This window comes from Homo sapiens, chromosome 20, assembly GCF_000001405.40.
Source record: "Homo sapiens chromosome 20, GRCh38.p14 Primary Assembly".
Taxonomy (NCBI): Eukaryota; Metazoa; Chordata; class Mammalia; order Primates; family Hominidae; genus Homo; species Homo sapiens.
In genome coordinates, this window is record NC_000020.11 from 620,791 (window position 1) to 635,260 (window position 14,470).

The 14,470-nt window shown below is 48.3% G+C and overlaps 3 annotated features.

Annotated features, from left to right (window-relative positions):
* Nucleotides 338-1,167: an enhancer, noted in NCBI's record as "H3K27ac-H3K4me1 hESC enhancer chr20:601772-602601 (GRCh37/hg19 assembly coordinates)". NCBI's record gives its function as "activates a minimal SCP1, AML or CMV promoter by ChIP-STARR-seq in primed H9 embryonic stem cells {active_cell/tissue: H9 hESC(primed)}" and the evidence as "EXISTENCE:reporter gene assay evidence [ECO:0000049][PMID:30033119]".
* Nucleotides 1,168-1,996: an enhancer, noted in NCBI's record as "H3K27ac-H3K4me1 hESC enhancer chr20:602602-603430 (GRCh37/hg19 assembly coordinates)". NCBI's record gives its function as "activates a minimal SCP1, AML or CMV promoter by ChIP-STARR-seq in primed H9 embryonic stem cells {active_cell/tissue: H9 hESC(primed)}" and the evidence as "EXISTENCE:reporter gene assay evidence [ECO:0000049][PMID:30033119]".
* Nucleotides 13,377-13,954: an enhancer, noted in NCBI's record as "H3K4me1 hESC enhancer chr20:614811-615388 (GRCh37/hg19 assembly coordinates)". NCBI's record gives its function as "activates a minimal SCP1, AML or CMV promoter by ChIP-STARR-seq in naive H9 embryonic stem cells {active_cell/tissue: H9 hESC(naive)}" and the evidence as "EXISTENCE:reporter gene assay evidence [ECO:0000049][PMID:30033119]".

Sequence of the window (14,470 nt, forward strand, 5' to 3'; positions counted from 1 at the left end):
CAAGTGATACCCCCTCCCACCTTTTCAAAGTGAACTTGTGGGGTGAGGAATGAGAGGAGACAGGGAGGGTCAGGCTGTGGCAGGTCAGTGAAGTGTGATGCAGGTTCCACCTTCTACGCTGTGTGACATTGGGCAAGTCTCTGCCCGTTTCCTCATCATTGCAACCAGGGGGCTGGAGCTAGATGACCACCATGTGTAATTTTCTAATCAGAGCTGACAGTCTGAGGCTCTTTCTGTCTAGTTTGCACCTTGCATGCATGTCCTCCCCTGAAGGCAGTGCAATTATTATAACCCCTATTTTAAAGGTAAATAAACCAAGGCTCACTGAGGCAAGGTGACCTGAGCAATTTTGCCCTTGAAGGGCTGGGACAGGATGCAAACCTAGACAATTGGTGCCAGAATTCATCTCTCAAGCATTCGCTCTCCTGCCTCCCAACACGAGTTTCTACTTCTCTTTGCCCTGGGATGACCTCTCCTTTGTCTCTTGGCTTGATGACCTCATTTTTAAAGATTCGGCTCATGCATCACCTCCCCCAAGAAGCCTGTCCTGACTAACTAAGCTCGGTTGGGGCTCCTCTCTGTCTGCTCATGCCTCTGGGAAGTAGCTGTCTCTTTTGGTCACTGGGCTGTGAGCCCTGGATGAGCAGAGCCACTTCTCATTCCTTCCTGTGCCTCCTGCATCAGCCAACATAAAAAGCTTTCAATTTTCCTTGAAGATTCTAAGTGCTTGTGGTGGTTTTAGAACATGGCTGCCTTAAGAAGTGGGGTCCATTGGTAGCTCATGCCTGTAATCCCAGCACTTTGGGAGGCTGAGGCAGGAGGATTGCTTGAGCCCAGGAAGCTGAGGCCAGCCTGGGCAACACAGCAAAATCCCGTCTCTACAAAAAATACAAAAATTAGCCAGATGTGGCAGCATGTGCCTGTGGGCTCAGCCCCTTGGGAGGCTGTGGCAGGAGGATCACCTGAACCTGGGGAGGTCAAGGCTGCTGTGAGCTGTGATTGCACCACCGCACTCCAGCCTGGGTGATAGAGGGAGACCCTGTCTCAAAAAAAAAATGGGGTTTATGTCTCCTCCTCTTGAGTCTGGGTGGGCTCGTAACAGCTTTAACCAATAGAATATGTCAGAAGTGACTCTGCGACTACTGAGACTGTTCACTGGCACTCTGTTTTTGGAGCCCTGAGCTGCCGTAGAAGATGTTCAAATACTCTGGGACTACCATGCTGTGGGGTCACATGTAGGCCCTCCTAGTCTTCAAGTCATCCTGGTCTGGGGACTCCAGATGATTCCAGTTCTTAGTTGTTTCATATCCAGCCTTTGAGTCCTCCCGGCTGAGGACCAAGACACCACGGAGCAAAAACAAGCCATCCCCACCACTCCTGGCCCGAATTCCTAAGCATAATAAAATGGTGGCTGCTTAAAGCCACGGAGTTTTGGGGTAGTTTGTTACACAGAGGTGGTAACGGGAACAGTGCGACCACCCTGGGCATGTCACCTTCCTCTCTGGCCAGCCAGAAGGTGCAGCAGCCACAAAGCTCTCTGCCTCCTCCCTTCCCTCAGCGGTGTGCTGCTGACACAGCAGTCAGAGATGCCCCATAAATGCTTCAAACAGACCATGTCCCTCCTTTGCTCAAAACCGTCTGTTGGCTCCCAGCTCACTCAGAGGAAATGCCAGATTCTTACCATGGCCCACGGGCCCTACATGATGGGACCCCTCTCCAGCCCATGGCCTCTCTGTCCTGTCTCCCACCCTCTCCCTTCTCCAGCCACACCACCTCCTTGCTACTCCTTGAACACCACATACGCCCTGTCTCAGGGCCTTTGCGCTTGCCAAGGACAGTGCTCCATTGCCTGGAACATTCTTTCTCCAGGTGTTGCTTGGTTCAGTCCCTCATCTTGTTCATGTCCCTGCTCAGATGTCATCTTCTCAGTGAGGCCCTCTCTTCCTACTCCCAAACCCCTTGACTTGCTCTATTTTCCTCTCGCCATGGCCCTTAGAACTACCTAACACACTATGCACTTTACTTATTGTGTTTCCCCGCCCACCCCGTCCACCCTAGAATGTCAATACCACAGGGCAGGAATCTTGGTTATTCTTTAATGTCTCCCCAGTGCCTGTAAGAGTACCCAACACTCACAGTGGTTTGCTGAATGAATGAATGAATGAGCTGTAGGAGCCCAGAAGGGGTTCGTTGCCTTCCCTAGGACTATGTATGTGGGGAAGCAGAGTGGGTGAGGAAAGGGCAGGATTGGAGTGACTGGGTTGAGCCAGTGTGGCCAGGGCTGGAGGACATTTCTTGGAAGTGACAACTCACTGCCCAGCTGGGGAATCCTGAGGATGGGAGAGTGCAGGGCAAGCCTTTGAAGATGCAAACATGGGTCGTCTCCGGGGCCTCCCTCCTTCCTGGTCTTGTGTGTCTCCGGCCCTGCCAGTAAACAGGATCTCTGGGCAACTGCCTGAGAACCCTGCCCAGTGCCCCAGAGGCCCTGACGTGCTCCTTCCTGAGCTATAAATCAGGTACCTTCCAGCTGTGTGACATCCTGGATTTGATGGGGAAGGCAGAGCAGACAGATTTGTTGCAAAGAGCTGTGCACTGCACCTTGATTTCCTTGTTAGCAAAATAGGAAGGATAGGAGCGTTGACTTCAAGCTGTGGCTGTGAAATCGAGTGAGATAATGCATGAAATTCCTCTGTAAACAGAGATGCTTCAAGGACGCATTAGTGGGTGGAGGCACAGGGAGCAAATCCCAACTCTGCCGCTGAGCTCTGTGTCTTCACCTGTAAAATGGGGTTAATGTGAATCACTAACTTCCTAGGGCTATTGAGGGATTCAAAAATGGAGAGAAAAGTCTTAGTACCCAATGAACGTGCAATAGATATTAGCTGTTATTAATGGTAACTATTACCATAATGATAAAGAATCAGATGTTATTGATAAGCCATTTGGGAGACCGAGAGTCTCAGTTCATACCCCAGAGGGGACCATGGACTTGGCACAGCACGATTTCAACCCTGTGCCTTTTGTGTATATTTCAATCTGGTCAGAGACTATCTCCCACTCACAGGCCACCTCCTCCCCCTACCCCCAGAAAGGCTATACTTGTGAGCACACCACTTCCCTAAAATATGCCACAAGAGTCGACATCTAGCCAGGCACAGTGGCTCATGTCTATAATCCCAGCAATTTGGGAGGCCAAGGTAGGAGGATAGCTTGAATCCAGGAGTTCGAGACCAGCCTGGGCAAGATGGTGAAACCATCTCTACTAAATAATTTTTTAAAAATTAGCTGGGTGTGGTAGTGTGCACCTGTAGTCCCAGCTACTTGGGAGGCTAAAGTGGGAGGATTGCTTGAGCCCAGAAATTCAAGGCTGCAGTGAGCTGTGGTTGTACCATTCCACTTCAGCCTGGGCAACAGGGCAAGACCTTGTCTCTAAAAAAATTTAAAACAAACAAACAAACAAAGAATAAATATCTAGCCTTGAAGCCAGCCTTGGGGGTGGGGTGGGAGGAGGACTATTTGTGTGCAGGAGTTCAAACCCAGGCCCCATCACTCCCCAGATGTGGAAACTTAGACATGTTATTTAATTGTCCTATGCCTCAGTTCCCTCAACTGAAAAAGAGAATAATAATAGTACCCATCTCTTCTAGTTGCATTGAGGACTGAATGAGTTAAAAAGTACCCAACACACCATATGAGATAATGCTATTTTCATTCTACCAATGGGTAAACTGAGGCTCAGCTAGGAGAAAGAACTTGGTTCAAGCTATCAGTCGTGTTGTTTATTGGCCCTAAGTTGTGACGAGTTTCATTATACCATTAGAAGCCCCCGAACAGTGAACTCATTGTTTGTGAGGTATCTCTATCTCTTAGTGATTTTTTAGTTAAATGAGAGTCCATGCTAATCATTTATAAAAAATGGATAAGATAAAAACTTAACATTGAAACATCCATGGGCTTCTTTCCATAAGAAATGGAGAAACTCTTGCTCCTAGTATTAAAAGGTCGTGGGTTCCAGTTTGAGATGCACCAAGCAAGGTAATAGGAAGTCCTTGAAGGTTCTTGAGCAGGGGGAAGCATGAACTTAAAGCATATGAACCATGTGTTTGGGTCAATTCAAGTTACTGAGACTTAGACATTGCTGGTGGGATGCAAATTGCTACAATCTCTGTGGAGGGTGATTGAGTTCCACAAATATTTAAGATAAATGTAAGAGCTCCTACCAAATGCCAGGTGCTGTTCAGGTGCTAAGGATTTGCAGCAAATAAATCCAACCAAGTCCCTCTGCCTGGTGCTTATTTTCTGGAGAGGAGACACACAATGAATGAATATACAACTTAGTATAGCGTGCACTGGGGAAAGAAATAAGAGCATTTCTACAATAATGTTTACTGCAGTGTGAAGGGGGATCTGAAGAGGCTGGACAGAGCCAAGTATGGGTGAAGATGTGGAGATAGCGCTGGGGGTGTGTGGACTGGAGCTGCCATCTGGAGAGCAATCTGTCCAGTTAAATCTGTACATTGGGTGCATAAATTATGGCCACCAATTATTTGACATTCCTCCCATCTAGATGTAGGTCTATGTATCTGCTCTCTGAATCTGGGCTGGCCTCTGACTGCTTTGACAAACAACTATGGTGGAAGTGATGATGTGTCAGTTTCCAGGCCTAGGCTTTAAAAGATTGGCAGCTTCTACTTCCTCTTTCTTGGAACAATTACTTGAGGGGAAGCCAGCTGCCATGAAGAACTCCAGCCACCCCAAGACTGCCATTCTGTGAGGAAGTCCCGCGAACAATGGAAAGAAGTCCTCTAGGATGAGACACCATGTGATGGAGAGAGAGGCCAGGAACATCAAGGCTGTAGACATGAGTGAAGATGCCATCTTGAAAGGGAACCTCCAGCCGTAGCTGTTTCAGTTGATACCACAAGGTTCAGAAAGGAGCCACCCAGCTGAGTCCTTCCTAAATTCCTGACTCACAAAGTAATGAACAAAGTGGTTGCTTTAAGCCTCTAAGTTGAGGGTAGTTTATTGTAGTGCAAAAGATAACCAGAATAGATATATCCGATGACCCAGCAATTATACTCCTGGCTATATGTCCAGACAAAATTCTCTTATCAGCCCATAGAGGATATGGCCATATTGTTGTGGCAACAGAGAGTTAGAGGCCACTCAGGTATCCATTACTGGGGTGGTAGAAAGGAATACATGGTAGGTGCAAAGAGCTCTAGGCAGCAATCAGAAGTCACAGGTGAAGCCACACATACAAGTCTGTTATGTTCTACGTGAAGACTTATACACCACAGAATGCACAAAGAACCCATCAGAATCTATGGAGGTGCAGAAAATATGAAGGGGAAATGGGATAAAAAGGAATAACTAGAGAGAGAGAAACAAAACCAAACAAAGGAGGGTGCACAGGGGTAAGTTATGATAATCTGCCATGAATTGAGGTCTTATTAAACTCAACGCTCTACATTTAAAATCTAAAAAGTAATAACAAAGGCCAACAAAATTAATGTGTGTGAATAGGGGGTTGGTTAAATAAATTGTAGCACATCCACATGAGGGAGTACTGTAAAGCCATAAAAAAGAGTGGCAGAGCTTGCTATGTACTAACATGTAAGAGTCCCAAAGTATGTCGAAAAGGCTATAAGAAGGGTATTGAAAAGGATGCATAATAGGCTTCCATTTGGGGGGAGATACCAGTGTGTGTGGTTGTGGATATGTTTATAGACAAATGGTATATCTGTGGAAGGATGCTCCTGGGGAAAAGAGCCAGATGTCAGGGGAGAGGGGTGGATGGCACTTCAGAAGAGCAGGCACCCAGGAGCTGTGTTCAGAGAAGGAATTGCCACTAACACTGGGACCACCTCCTCCAGGCCAGGATCACGCCAGGTGTGGGGGCTCAGAGTGGGCAGAGAGCCTCTGCTGCTTCCAAGATGCCCAGGGTCCTGACTGTGTCCATGATGCAACCTCAGCCAACAAGTTGGTTGGGCACTGCCCACTGCTGTGCCCTCATCAGCCACTGTCCTCACTTCATTGCCACTCACCATCACCACTCTCCTTCATTCTGCCTGAAACACTCCTCCCCACTGCCCGTCTCCCTCTGTTACTTAATACTCAAACTAGTACAGAGAATAACAGAATAAAATCCCATGTACTCACTGCTCAGTTTAAGGAATAATACTTTTCTTTTCTTTTTTGAGATGAAGTCTCGCTCTGTTGCCCAGGCTGGGGTGCAGCAGCGTGATCTCAGCTCACTGCAACCTCCGCCTCCCAGATTCAAGTGATTCTTCTGCCTCAGCCTCCTGAGTAGCTGGGATTACAGGGATACGCCACCACACCTGGCTAATTTTTGTATTTTTAGTAGAGATGGGATTTCACCAAGTTGGTCAGGCTGGTCTCAAACTCCTGACCTCGTGATCTGCCTGCCCCGGCCTCCCAAAATGCTGGGATTACAGGCATGAGCCACTGCGCCTGGCCTAAAACTTTTCAAAAAGAATTGAGAGTGAATGGTTTTAAATATGTCCACAAATTCTTGGACACTCCTCTCTTCAAAAAGTAGAGTTACATTCTCCTTACCTTTGAGTATGGGCTGAGCTCAGCAACTCATGTCTAATGAAGAGGATGTGGTGAATGAGGATGGGTCACAAAAGGGATACAACTTCTGCTTAATTGTCCATCTGTCCGTCTATCTCTCCATGCTCACTTTTGGAATCCAGCCACCATGTTGTGATAGAACCCAAGATGCATGGGCGGGCCCACATGGAGAGGAACTGAGGCCCTCTCCCCTCTTCCCAGTCCCTGATCAACAACCATCACAAATTTGCTAGCCACCCAGATGAACCCCCTTTGGCTTGGCAGCAAATTCTCCAGCTTACCCTCCAACTCCCCAACCCGATAGGCCTTCAGATGACTGCAGGCCCAGCTGACAGCTGAATTTAGCTTCCTGAGGACCAGAACCACCCAGCTAAACCATGCCCATATTCCTGCCTTCAGAAACTGTGAGATATAAAAAATGACTGTTAGTACTTTGAAAACATTATGTTTTGGGATGATTTCTAATGCAGGATCGATTGCTAATACAGAGGGTCCCTGGTATCCCTCCCCACCATCCCCATCCACCCTCTTAGAAGCCACAATCCTGATGTTTATTATTTCCATGAATGTTTTACCTTTTACTACATATAATAAATCCTTACCCAATACATAGGACTATATTTCCTTCTTTTTTAAAGAATTTTTTCTTTTTGAGATGGAGTTTTGCTCTTGTTGCTCAGGCTGGGGTGCAATGGCGCGATCTCGGCTCACTGCAACCTCCGCTTCTCGAGTTCAAGCGTCATTCTTAAAAATGTATAGAAGTGCATATATATTGTATGGATTCTGTGCATCCTACCTCGCATGCTCTTTTCCTTGCACAGTGTGCATTGGCGACCCATCTGCATTGAGGCAGGCAGCTGCCATTCGTTGGCACTGCTGGGCATTCTTCCCTTATATGAATATGTTAATACCACGATATAGTATCTGAAGTCCATGTTGATGAACATTTGGATGGTTTTTATTTTTTGCTATTACAAACAACAGCGCTGGTAACATCCACTTGCCCTCTTCCCTCTTTCACATGGCACCTTCTTGTTCTTGGAGGTCTCAGCTCTAACAATGTAACCCCACCAACCCCCCGCTCCAGCTAATGGGTTCTCTGTCCCCACATGTGCCTCCCAAGCTGGCTTTTGATGGTGCTCCCTCTGTTTTTCCTTCTGGCATCTACTCCGTGTGGTCAACATTCAGTTATCTTTTCCTGTCTGGAGCTAGAGGGTAAGCCCCATGAAGGCAGGCAGAGTAGTGGGTTTTTTTCCCCAGTCCCCTCCATCCCTGATGCTTTGCACAGGGCCTGGCACACAGTAGGTTCGCAAGAAAAATTGTTGGATCAGGAATGGCTGAGAATTAGCTTCCTCTCTTTGGGCTTCAGTTTTCCCATCTGCACAGTGAAAACTTTAGATAATTTCGGGGTGATTTTAGGTTTAGCCTTTGAGAGGTGCCTCAGTGGCCGCCACAAAATATCGGAAGACCCCAACTTTCAGCAGAGCTGGCCTTGTTTCCCTTGTGTCTTAGATTGGTCTCTATGGCAGATTATGTTTAAAAAGAATAGCCACCATTTATTGAGCGCTCACTACGTGATAGGCATGCTGTCAGCTGGCAGATGCATTTCCTCATTTTGGCCACTCATTAACCCTCAGAAGTAGCACTGTTACTATGCTCTTTATAAAGAGGGGTAAACTGAGGCAAAGAGAGGTGAAGTCACTTGTCAGAGGACTAGCAAAGGAGGGAGCTGGGATTTGTAGCACAAGAGACTATCAGAGCCCATTCGCCAACCCTGGTGCAGCCCTGCCCCACTGGTACCACAGCTTTAAAGAAGTGGGGTGGGAGGCAGAGGAGGAGGACGGTGAAGGACAAGGGTGAAGAGAAATGTTTGGATAAGTTTGACAGCCACTCTTCTGAAGGGCTTTGCCAGCCGCAGCATTCGGGTGTCCCTAGTCACGGGGGCTCCGTCACTTCCCTATCCCCCTGTTTCCCGGCCCTGATGGGTCTTGCTCTGTCACCCAGGAGGCTGGAGTGCAGTGGCGTGATCACAGCTCACTGCAGCCTGGAACTCCCGGGCTCAAGTGATGTTCCCCATCAGCCTTCCTAGTAGCTGCGACTACAGGCGTGCACCACCATGCCCAGCTAAGTTTTAAATGTTTATATAGACACAGGGTCTCACTATGTTGCCCAGGCTGGTCTCGAACTCCTGGCCTAAAGCAATCCTCCTGTCTTGGCCTCTCAGAGCACTGGGATTAAAGTGTGAGCCACTGTGCCTGGCTGAGATTTATTGATCACATAGATACCTATATTATTCTAAGTGTTTTTCAAGTGACAACTCATTTAATCTTCATAACTGTCCTGTGACGTAGATAGTATCAGTTTTATCAGTATTTTATGGAGATTAAGTAACAGAAGCACAGAAAGGTCAAGTAACTTGCACAGAGTCACACAGCTGGTAAGATGTGGACCCAGCTTTGAATCCAGGCAGTCCAGCTCCAGAATCCTTGTGCTTCACATCACCACACGCTGCCTTCACCATCACGTGTCAGTTCCACACAAGTGGATGCCCACAATGGTTGGGAGTAAGGGGAAAAGGAGTAGGGCTTGAGGAAAAAATAAAAGTGAAGCGTGTGATGATAATGAGCTATGCTTGAGAAATGGGATTAACTCAGCTCTCTGTACTTGATAGAAAAAAGAAGGAGAAGGAGGAGAGGAAAGAAGAAGAAGGAAATATTTAACTGGACTCTCCGGGGCTTAATTATAACAACTGTCTGGCACCTAAGGTCCTTCCCTAGCTGGGCTTGCTGCTTCTCTAATCTCATTTCCCTACGTTTCTCACGGTGCTCCAGTCACTCCAGGCCACACCTGATCCCAGAAACCTACTTGTTCCTACTTTGAGCCTTTGCTTGTGCTGTTTCTTCCATTAAGGGTGCCCTTTTTGCCAGGTGCAGTGGCTCATGCCTATAATCCCAGCACTTTGGGAGGCCGAGGTGGGACAATCACCTGAGGTCAGGAGTTCGAGACCAGCCTGGCCAACATGGTGAAACCCCGTCTCTACTAAAAACACAAAAGTTAGCCAGGCGTGGTGGCAGGTGCTTGTAATCCCAACTACTTGGGCGGCTGAGGTGGGAGGATCGCTTGAACCTGGGAGGCAGAGGTTGCAATGAGCTGAGATCATGTCGCTACACTCCAGCCTGGGCAACAGAGCTAGAGACTCCGTCACAAAAAAAAAAAAAAAAAAAAAAAAAGAGTGCTCCTTTCCCCATTTTAGGAACTCCTACACATCCATCAAAACCTGGCCTAAAGGCCCTCTCCTCAATGGAACCTTTTCCAGCCTTTCACTTCTTGGGGTTCCCACAGCCCTTTACATGTCTCTATTCTGGTTGGCTCACCTGCTAGCCAGTGAGCTCCTGGAGGACAGGGATGGGTCTGGCTCATCTCTTTAACCGCCATGCTGAGCCCAGAGCCTGGTAAATGGTGGGTGCTCTATAAGCTCGTGCCCAGTCACTCACCTTTACAGCTCCAGTGTCTGGCTGACAGTGGGTGCTCAGTACATGTGGTTGGACAGATCAATGAGTGAATATTTGACGGAAGGGTGAATAATGACATCAAGGCTGCATTCCAATAACAGCACAATCCCAGTGCTGAGAAAACAATTCACAGCCCTGGATTCATATCATGGAATTCTGATTCCTAGGCCCCTTTGTTCCCAGAGCTATCCGATGATGCTGAAGAAGAGTCCCTGGGCATCATCTGTTCCAGCTGTGTGACCTTGAGCAAGTTGTTTAACCACCTTGTGCCCCAAGATTCTCATCTGCATAAAGAAGAGAAATAGCTACACCTTCCTCATGGGCTAGTTACAAGGATGAAATTTGATCATATGTGCCAAGCACTTAACACAACACATGAACATCACGGCATTGGCATGTCAGCTATGCCAATGACTCTATTTATACCTGAATTTTTATTTGAAATAATTTCAGACTTACAGAAAGTTTGCAATAATAATACAAAGAATTCCTACATACCATCACCCAGATTCCTTAAATGTTAACATTTTGCATTCTTTGCTTTTTCATTCTCTCTCAGCATATATTTTTGTCCAGTGCCTGAATTGTTGGAAATAAGTTGCAGACATGTTGACTCTTTACCTCTAAGTTAATTATCCCATGTATATTTCTAAAAACAAGAATATTCTCTTACAAAATCGCAGGACAGATAGAAAAATCAGGACACTGATACAATGCTATTGTCTATCTTATAGACCTATTGAAATTTTTTCAGTTCTACTAATGTCCTTTGTAGCAAATAAACAAAAAGATTTCTACCCCCCCACCCCACCCACTCAGTAACCAGTCCAGGACACATGTTGTATTTAATGTTTATGTCTCTTTAGTCTTCTTTTTAGTCTTATCTGGAGCAGTTTCTTTTTTTTGAGACAGAGTCTTGCTCTGTTGCCCAGGCTGGAGTGCAGTGGTGCCACCTCGGCTCACTGCAACCTCTGTCTCCCAGGTTGAAGTGATTCTCCTGCCTCAGTCTCCCGAGTAGCAGGAATTACAGGCGCCTGCCACCACGTTCAGCTAATTTTTGTATTTTTTTAGTTTTACCACGTTGACCAGGTTGGTCTCGAATTCCTGGCCTCAAGTGATCCACCTGCCTCGGCCTCCCGAAGTGCTGGGATTACAGGCGTGAGCCACTGTACCCAGCGTGGAACAGTTTCTTTGGCTTTTATGGCTGACATTATTTGAAGAGTTTAGGCCAGTTTTTTGTTTTGTTTTGTTTTGGTTTTTGAAGATGGAGTTTCACTCTTATTGCCCAGGCTGGAGTGCAATGGCACCATCTTGGCTCACTGCAACCTCCGCCTCTGGGTTCAAGCGATTCTCCTGCCTCAGCCTCCTGAGTAGCTAGGATTACAGGCGCTCGCCACTATGCCTGGCTAATTTTTTGTATTTTTAGTAGAGACAGGGTTTCACCATGTTGGCCAGGCTGGTCTCGAACTCCTGATCTCAGGTGATCCATCTGCCTCGGCCTCTCAAAGTGCTGGGATTACAGGTGTAAGCCACTGTGCCCAGCCTGGAACAGTTTCTTTGACTTTTATGATCAACATTATTTGAAAAGTTTAGACCAGTTGTTTTGCAGATTGTCCCTCTGTTTGGATTTTTGTGTTATTTCTTTATGCTTGGATTCAGATCAGGCACTTGTGGCAAGAACACCGCATCAGTGACGCTTTGTCCTTCACAGTGCGTCCCATCAGGGGGCCCATGATGCCTGCCGACTTGCCCCACTATTAGCAATGTTCACTGTGATCATTTGGTGAAGGTGGTGTCTGCCAGTTTTCCCTACTGTAAAGTTACCATTTTTCTCTTTGTAATTAACGAATACCTTATAGGAAGATACACTGATACTATGTAAATATTCTGTTTCTCTTTATATTTCCTGCCCATATATTTCCTAGCAGGATGATCTATTTTGCAATAGATGCAATTATTATTTGATAAAGGAATACATAAACATGGACCAATATTCCAACAGTATAAAAGAGTGTAAGGCAAATCTCCCACCCACTCCGTCCCCAGCCACCCCGATCCTCTCCCCAAGCCATCCCTAGTCTCACTGTTTCTTGTGTCCTTCCAGAAATGTTCTATGCATAGACAAGCGAATCCACTCATCCATCTTCTTCTCGAGTTATGTGCATGCAGAAGGTAGCTAAATAGACACATGATCTGCATCTTGTTTTATTTCATTTAATATTTTGGAGACCATTTCATATTTGAACACAAAGAGAGATCTCTTGCTGATTTTAGAAACTTATGTCCATCTGAGGTGCAATCCCAGGGTAGTCAATCTCTTTCAGGTTCACAAATAAGGAAGCTGAGACTCAGAGTGGGGAAGGGACAGGTCCCAATGTCAGAGGCAAAACAGACTTGGAAACCAGCCTGGAACCCCTGAATAAGAGAGTTGACAGGTCTTACTATTGGGGAACCAGTCCTTCCAAGGGCCTTTTCAACAAAATGCCAGACCCAGGCTCATGCCCCCGTTCTCAGCCTGGCTTCTCCCTCCTTCCCCCCTCCTCCCCTGGGTCCCTTCTTAACTCTCGTTAGGGACTCCCCTCCAGCTCCCTGCTGGGCCAGGCCTTGGGAGCCCCATTGATCCTCTGACAGCCCAAGACAGATTGGTGGGGAGTGTGTATTCAGGTGCAGGCGCCAGCACATGGAGGCCAGATGAGAATGGGGTGGAGGGGGTCAGGGGCCTGCTGGGGTGGGGGGATTGAGGATTGAGGAAGGCCAGGATAGTGCATCCCACAGACACCTGCCTCCCCTCTTTCTCCCCCACCAATTCCTGCCCTTCTTGGGGCTTCTGTTCCTCCCGCCTCCTCTTGCCAGGCGTGGGCAGGCCAGAGGGGCTGGGGCAGGGCCTGGGAGGCCTGGGGGTGTAGCAGAGAGAAGTCGGGATGGGGAGTGAGCCTTGCTTGGTTTGATCTCAGCTCAGGCCCTCTTGTGAGACTCAGGCAGATGACATCTCTTGAGCCTCCGTCTCCTCGGGGCAATAAGAAGGAAATAAACTTCATACAGCGTCCAGCAGCCAGTGAGGCATGGCCAGTAAAGGTCTCCATGTCCTTCATTGGCCTCTTAAGGCTCCCACTGCATTGTTCCTGTCTGATTATGGAAGCCCCCAAGCCAAGGCGGCCCCTCGGCTCTGCCTGCGGAAAGTTTTCCCTTCACCTGCGCAGACCAGGCCGATGTGGCCTCCAGAATGGAGGGGTCAGCCTAGGTTGCCTGTGACAACTCTGAAAGGCCTTAGGAGGCACAGCATCTCAAGTGCACACCCGAGTATGGCGTGATCTGCAAGGGGAATAGGGGCTGGGGGGAGACATAGGCTTTGAAGATGAATCAGGCTGGAGCAGGGTGGAAGTGGGCTCAGGGAGATGGAGCAGGAGGGGTTGGTCAGGGAAGAGGGAGCTCAAGGGAGGAGACATAAGCGCAGAGAGTGAGATAGATAGGGACCCAGCAGCAAGTGGGCTCAGAGAGGGGCTGTGGTGCAGAGAGAATGAGACTCAGATGGGGGCTGTAGACTCAGAGAGAGAGATGGGGACAAAAGGGGAGTGGGGGCTCAGGCAAAGGGATGAAGGCAGAGATGGGAAAATTGGGAGGGAGGGGAGCATCCGTTTTGGGAGGGAAGTGTCAGTTTTGAGCACACACAGTCCTCTGCAGCTTGAGGAGGAGGAAGGCTGGGTCTGTGGAGGGTGGGGAGCGGGTGGCACCAGAACAAAGCCCCGGGGGTAGCAGCCTGGGCCCTGCAGCTCCTTCGCAGCTGACAGTCCCTGAGCTAATTACCATTAATGAGCAGCTGGGCCCAGTTTCCCGGGATTTGCATTCACTGTGCTAGTCAGCGCCACTGTGGATGGAAGCCAGCGCCAGCCTTCTGGGGTGGGGGTGACTCAGGGAGCCGAGGTAAGATCGCTGGCTTCATGTGGGGCTGAAGAAGGTGTGGCTTTGCCTTTCCTGCAGGTTAGGAGATGGCCGAGGTACAATCGTGCCTGGAGGCAGGGCACTGGCATCATCCACCTGTCCTCAGCCAGGGCCGGGGTAAGGGTCTTGGGGAAGGAACAGGTCTTGTGGCCCTCAGAAGCCCTCAGACATTTGGTTGCAGGGGCCCTCAGATTGTGCAGCCAGCTGTCCACTGCGGAGTTGAGGGAATAGACCACAGAGGAGCAACGTGCTGCTCAAACTCATACCAAGACAGCATTGCTCGTTAAGCGTGCCTGTGTCAGACGCTGTCCAAAGCACTTTACTGAATCTTCACTACCAACCCCATGTGGTGGCTGTTATTAGCAATCCCATTTTACAGATGAGGAAACTGAGGCACAGAGCGGTCACACAGCCAGGGACCA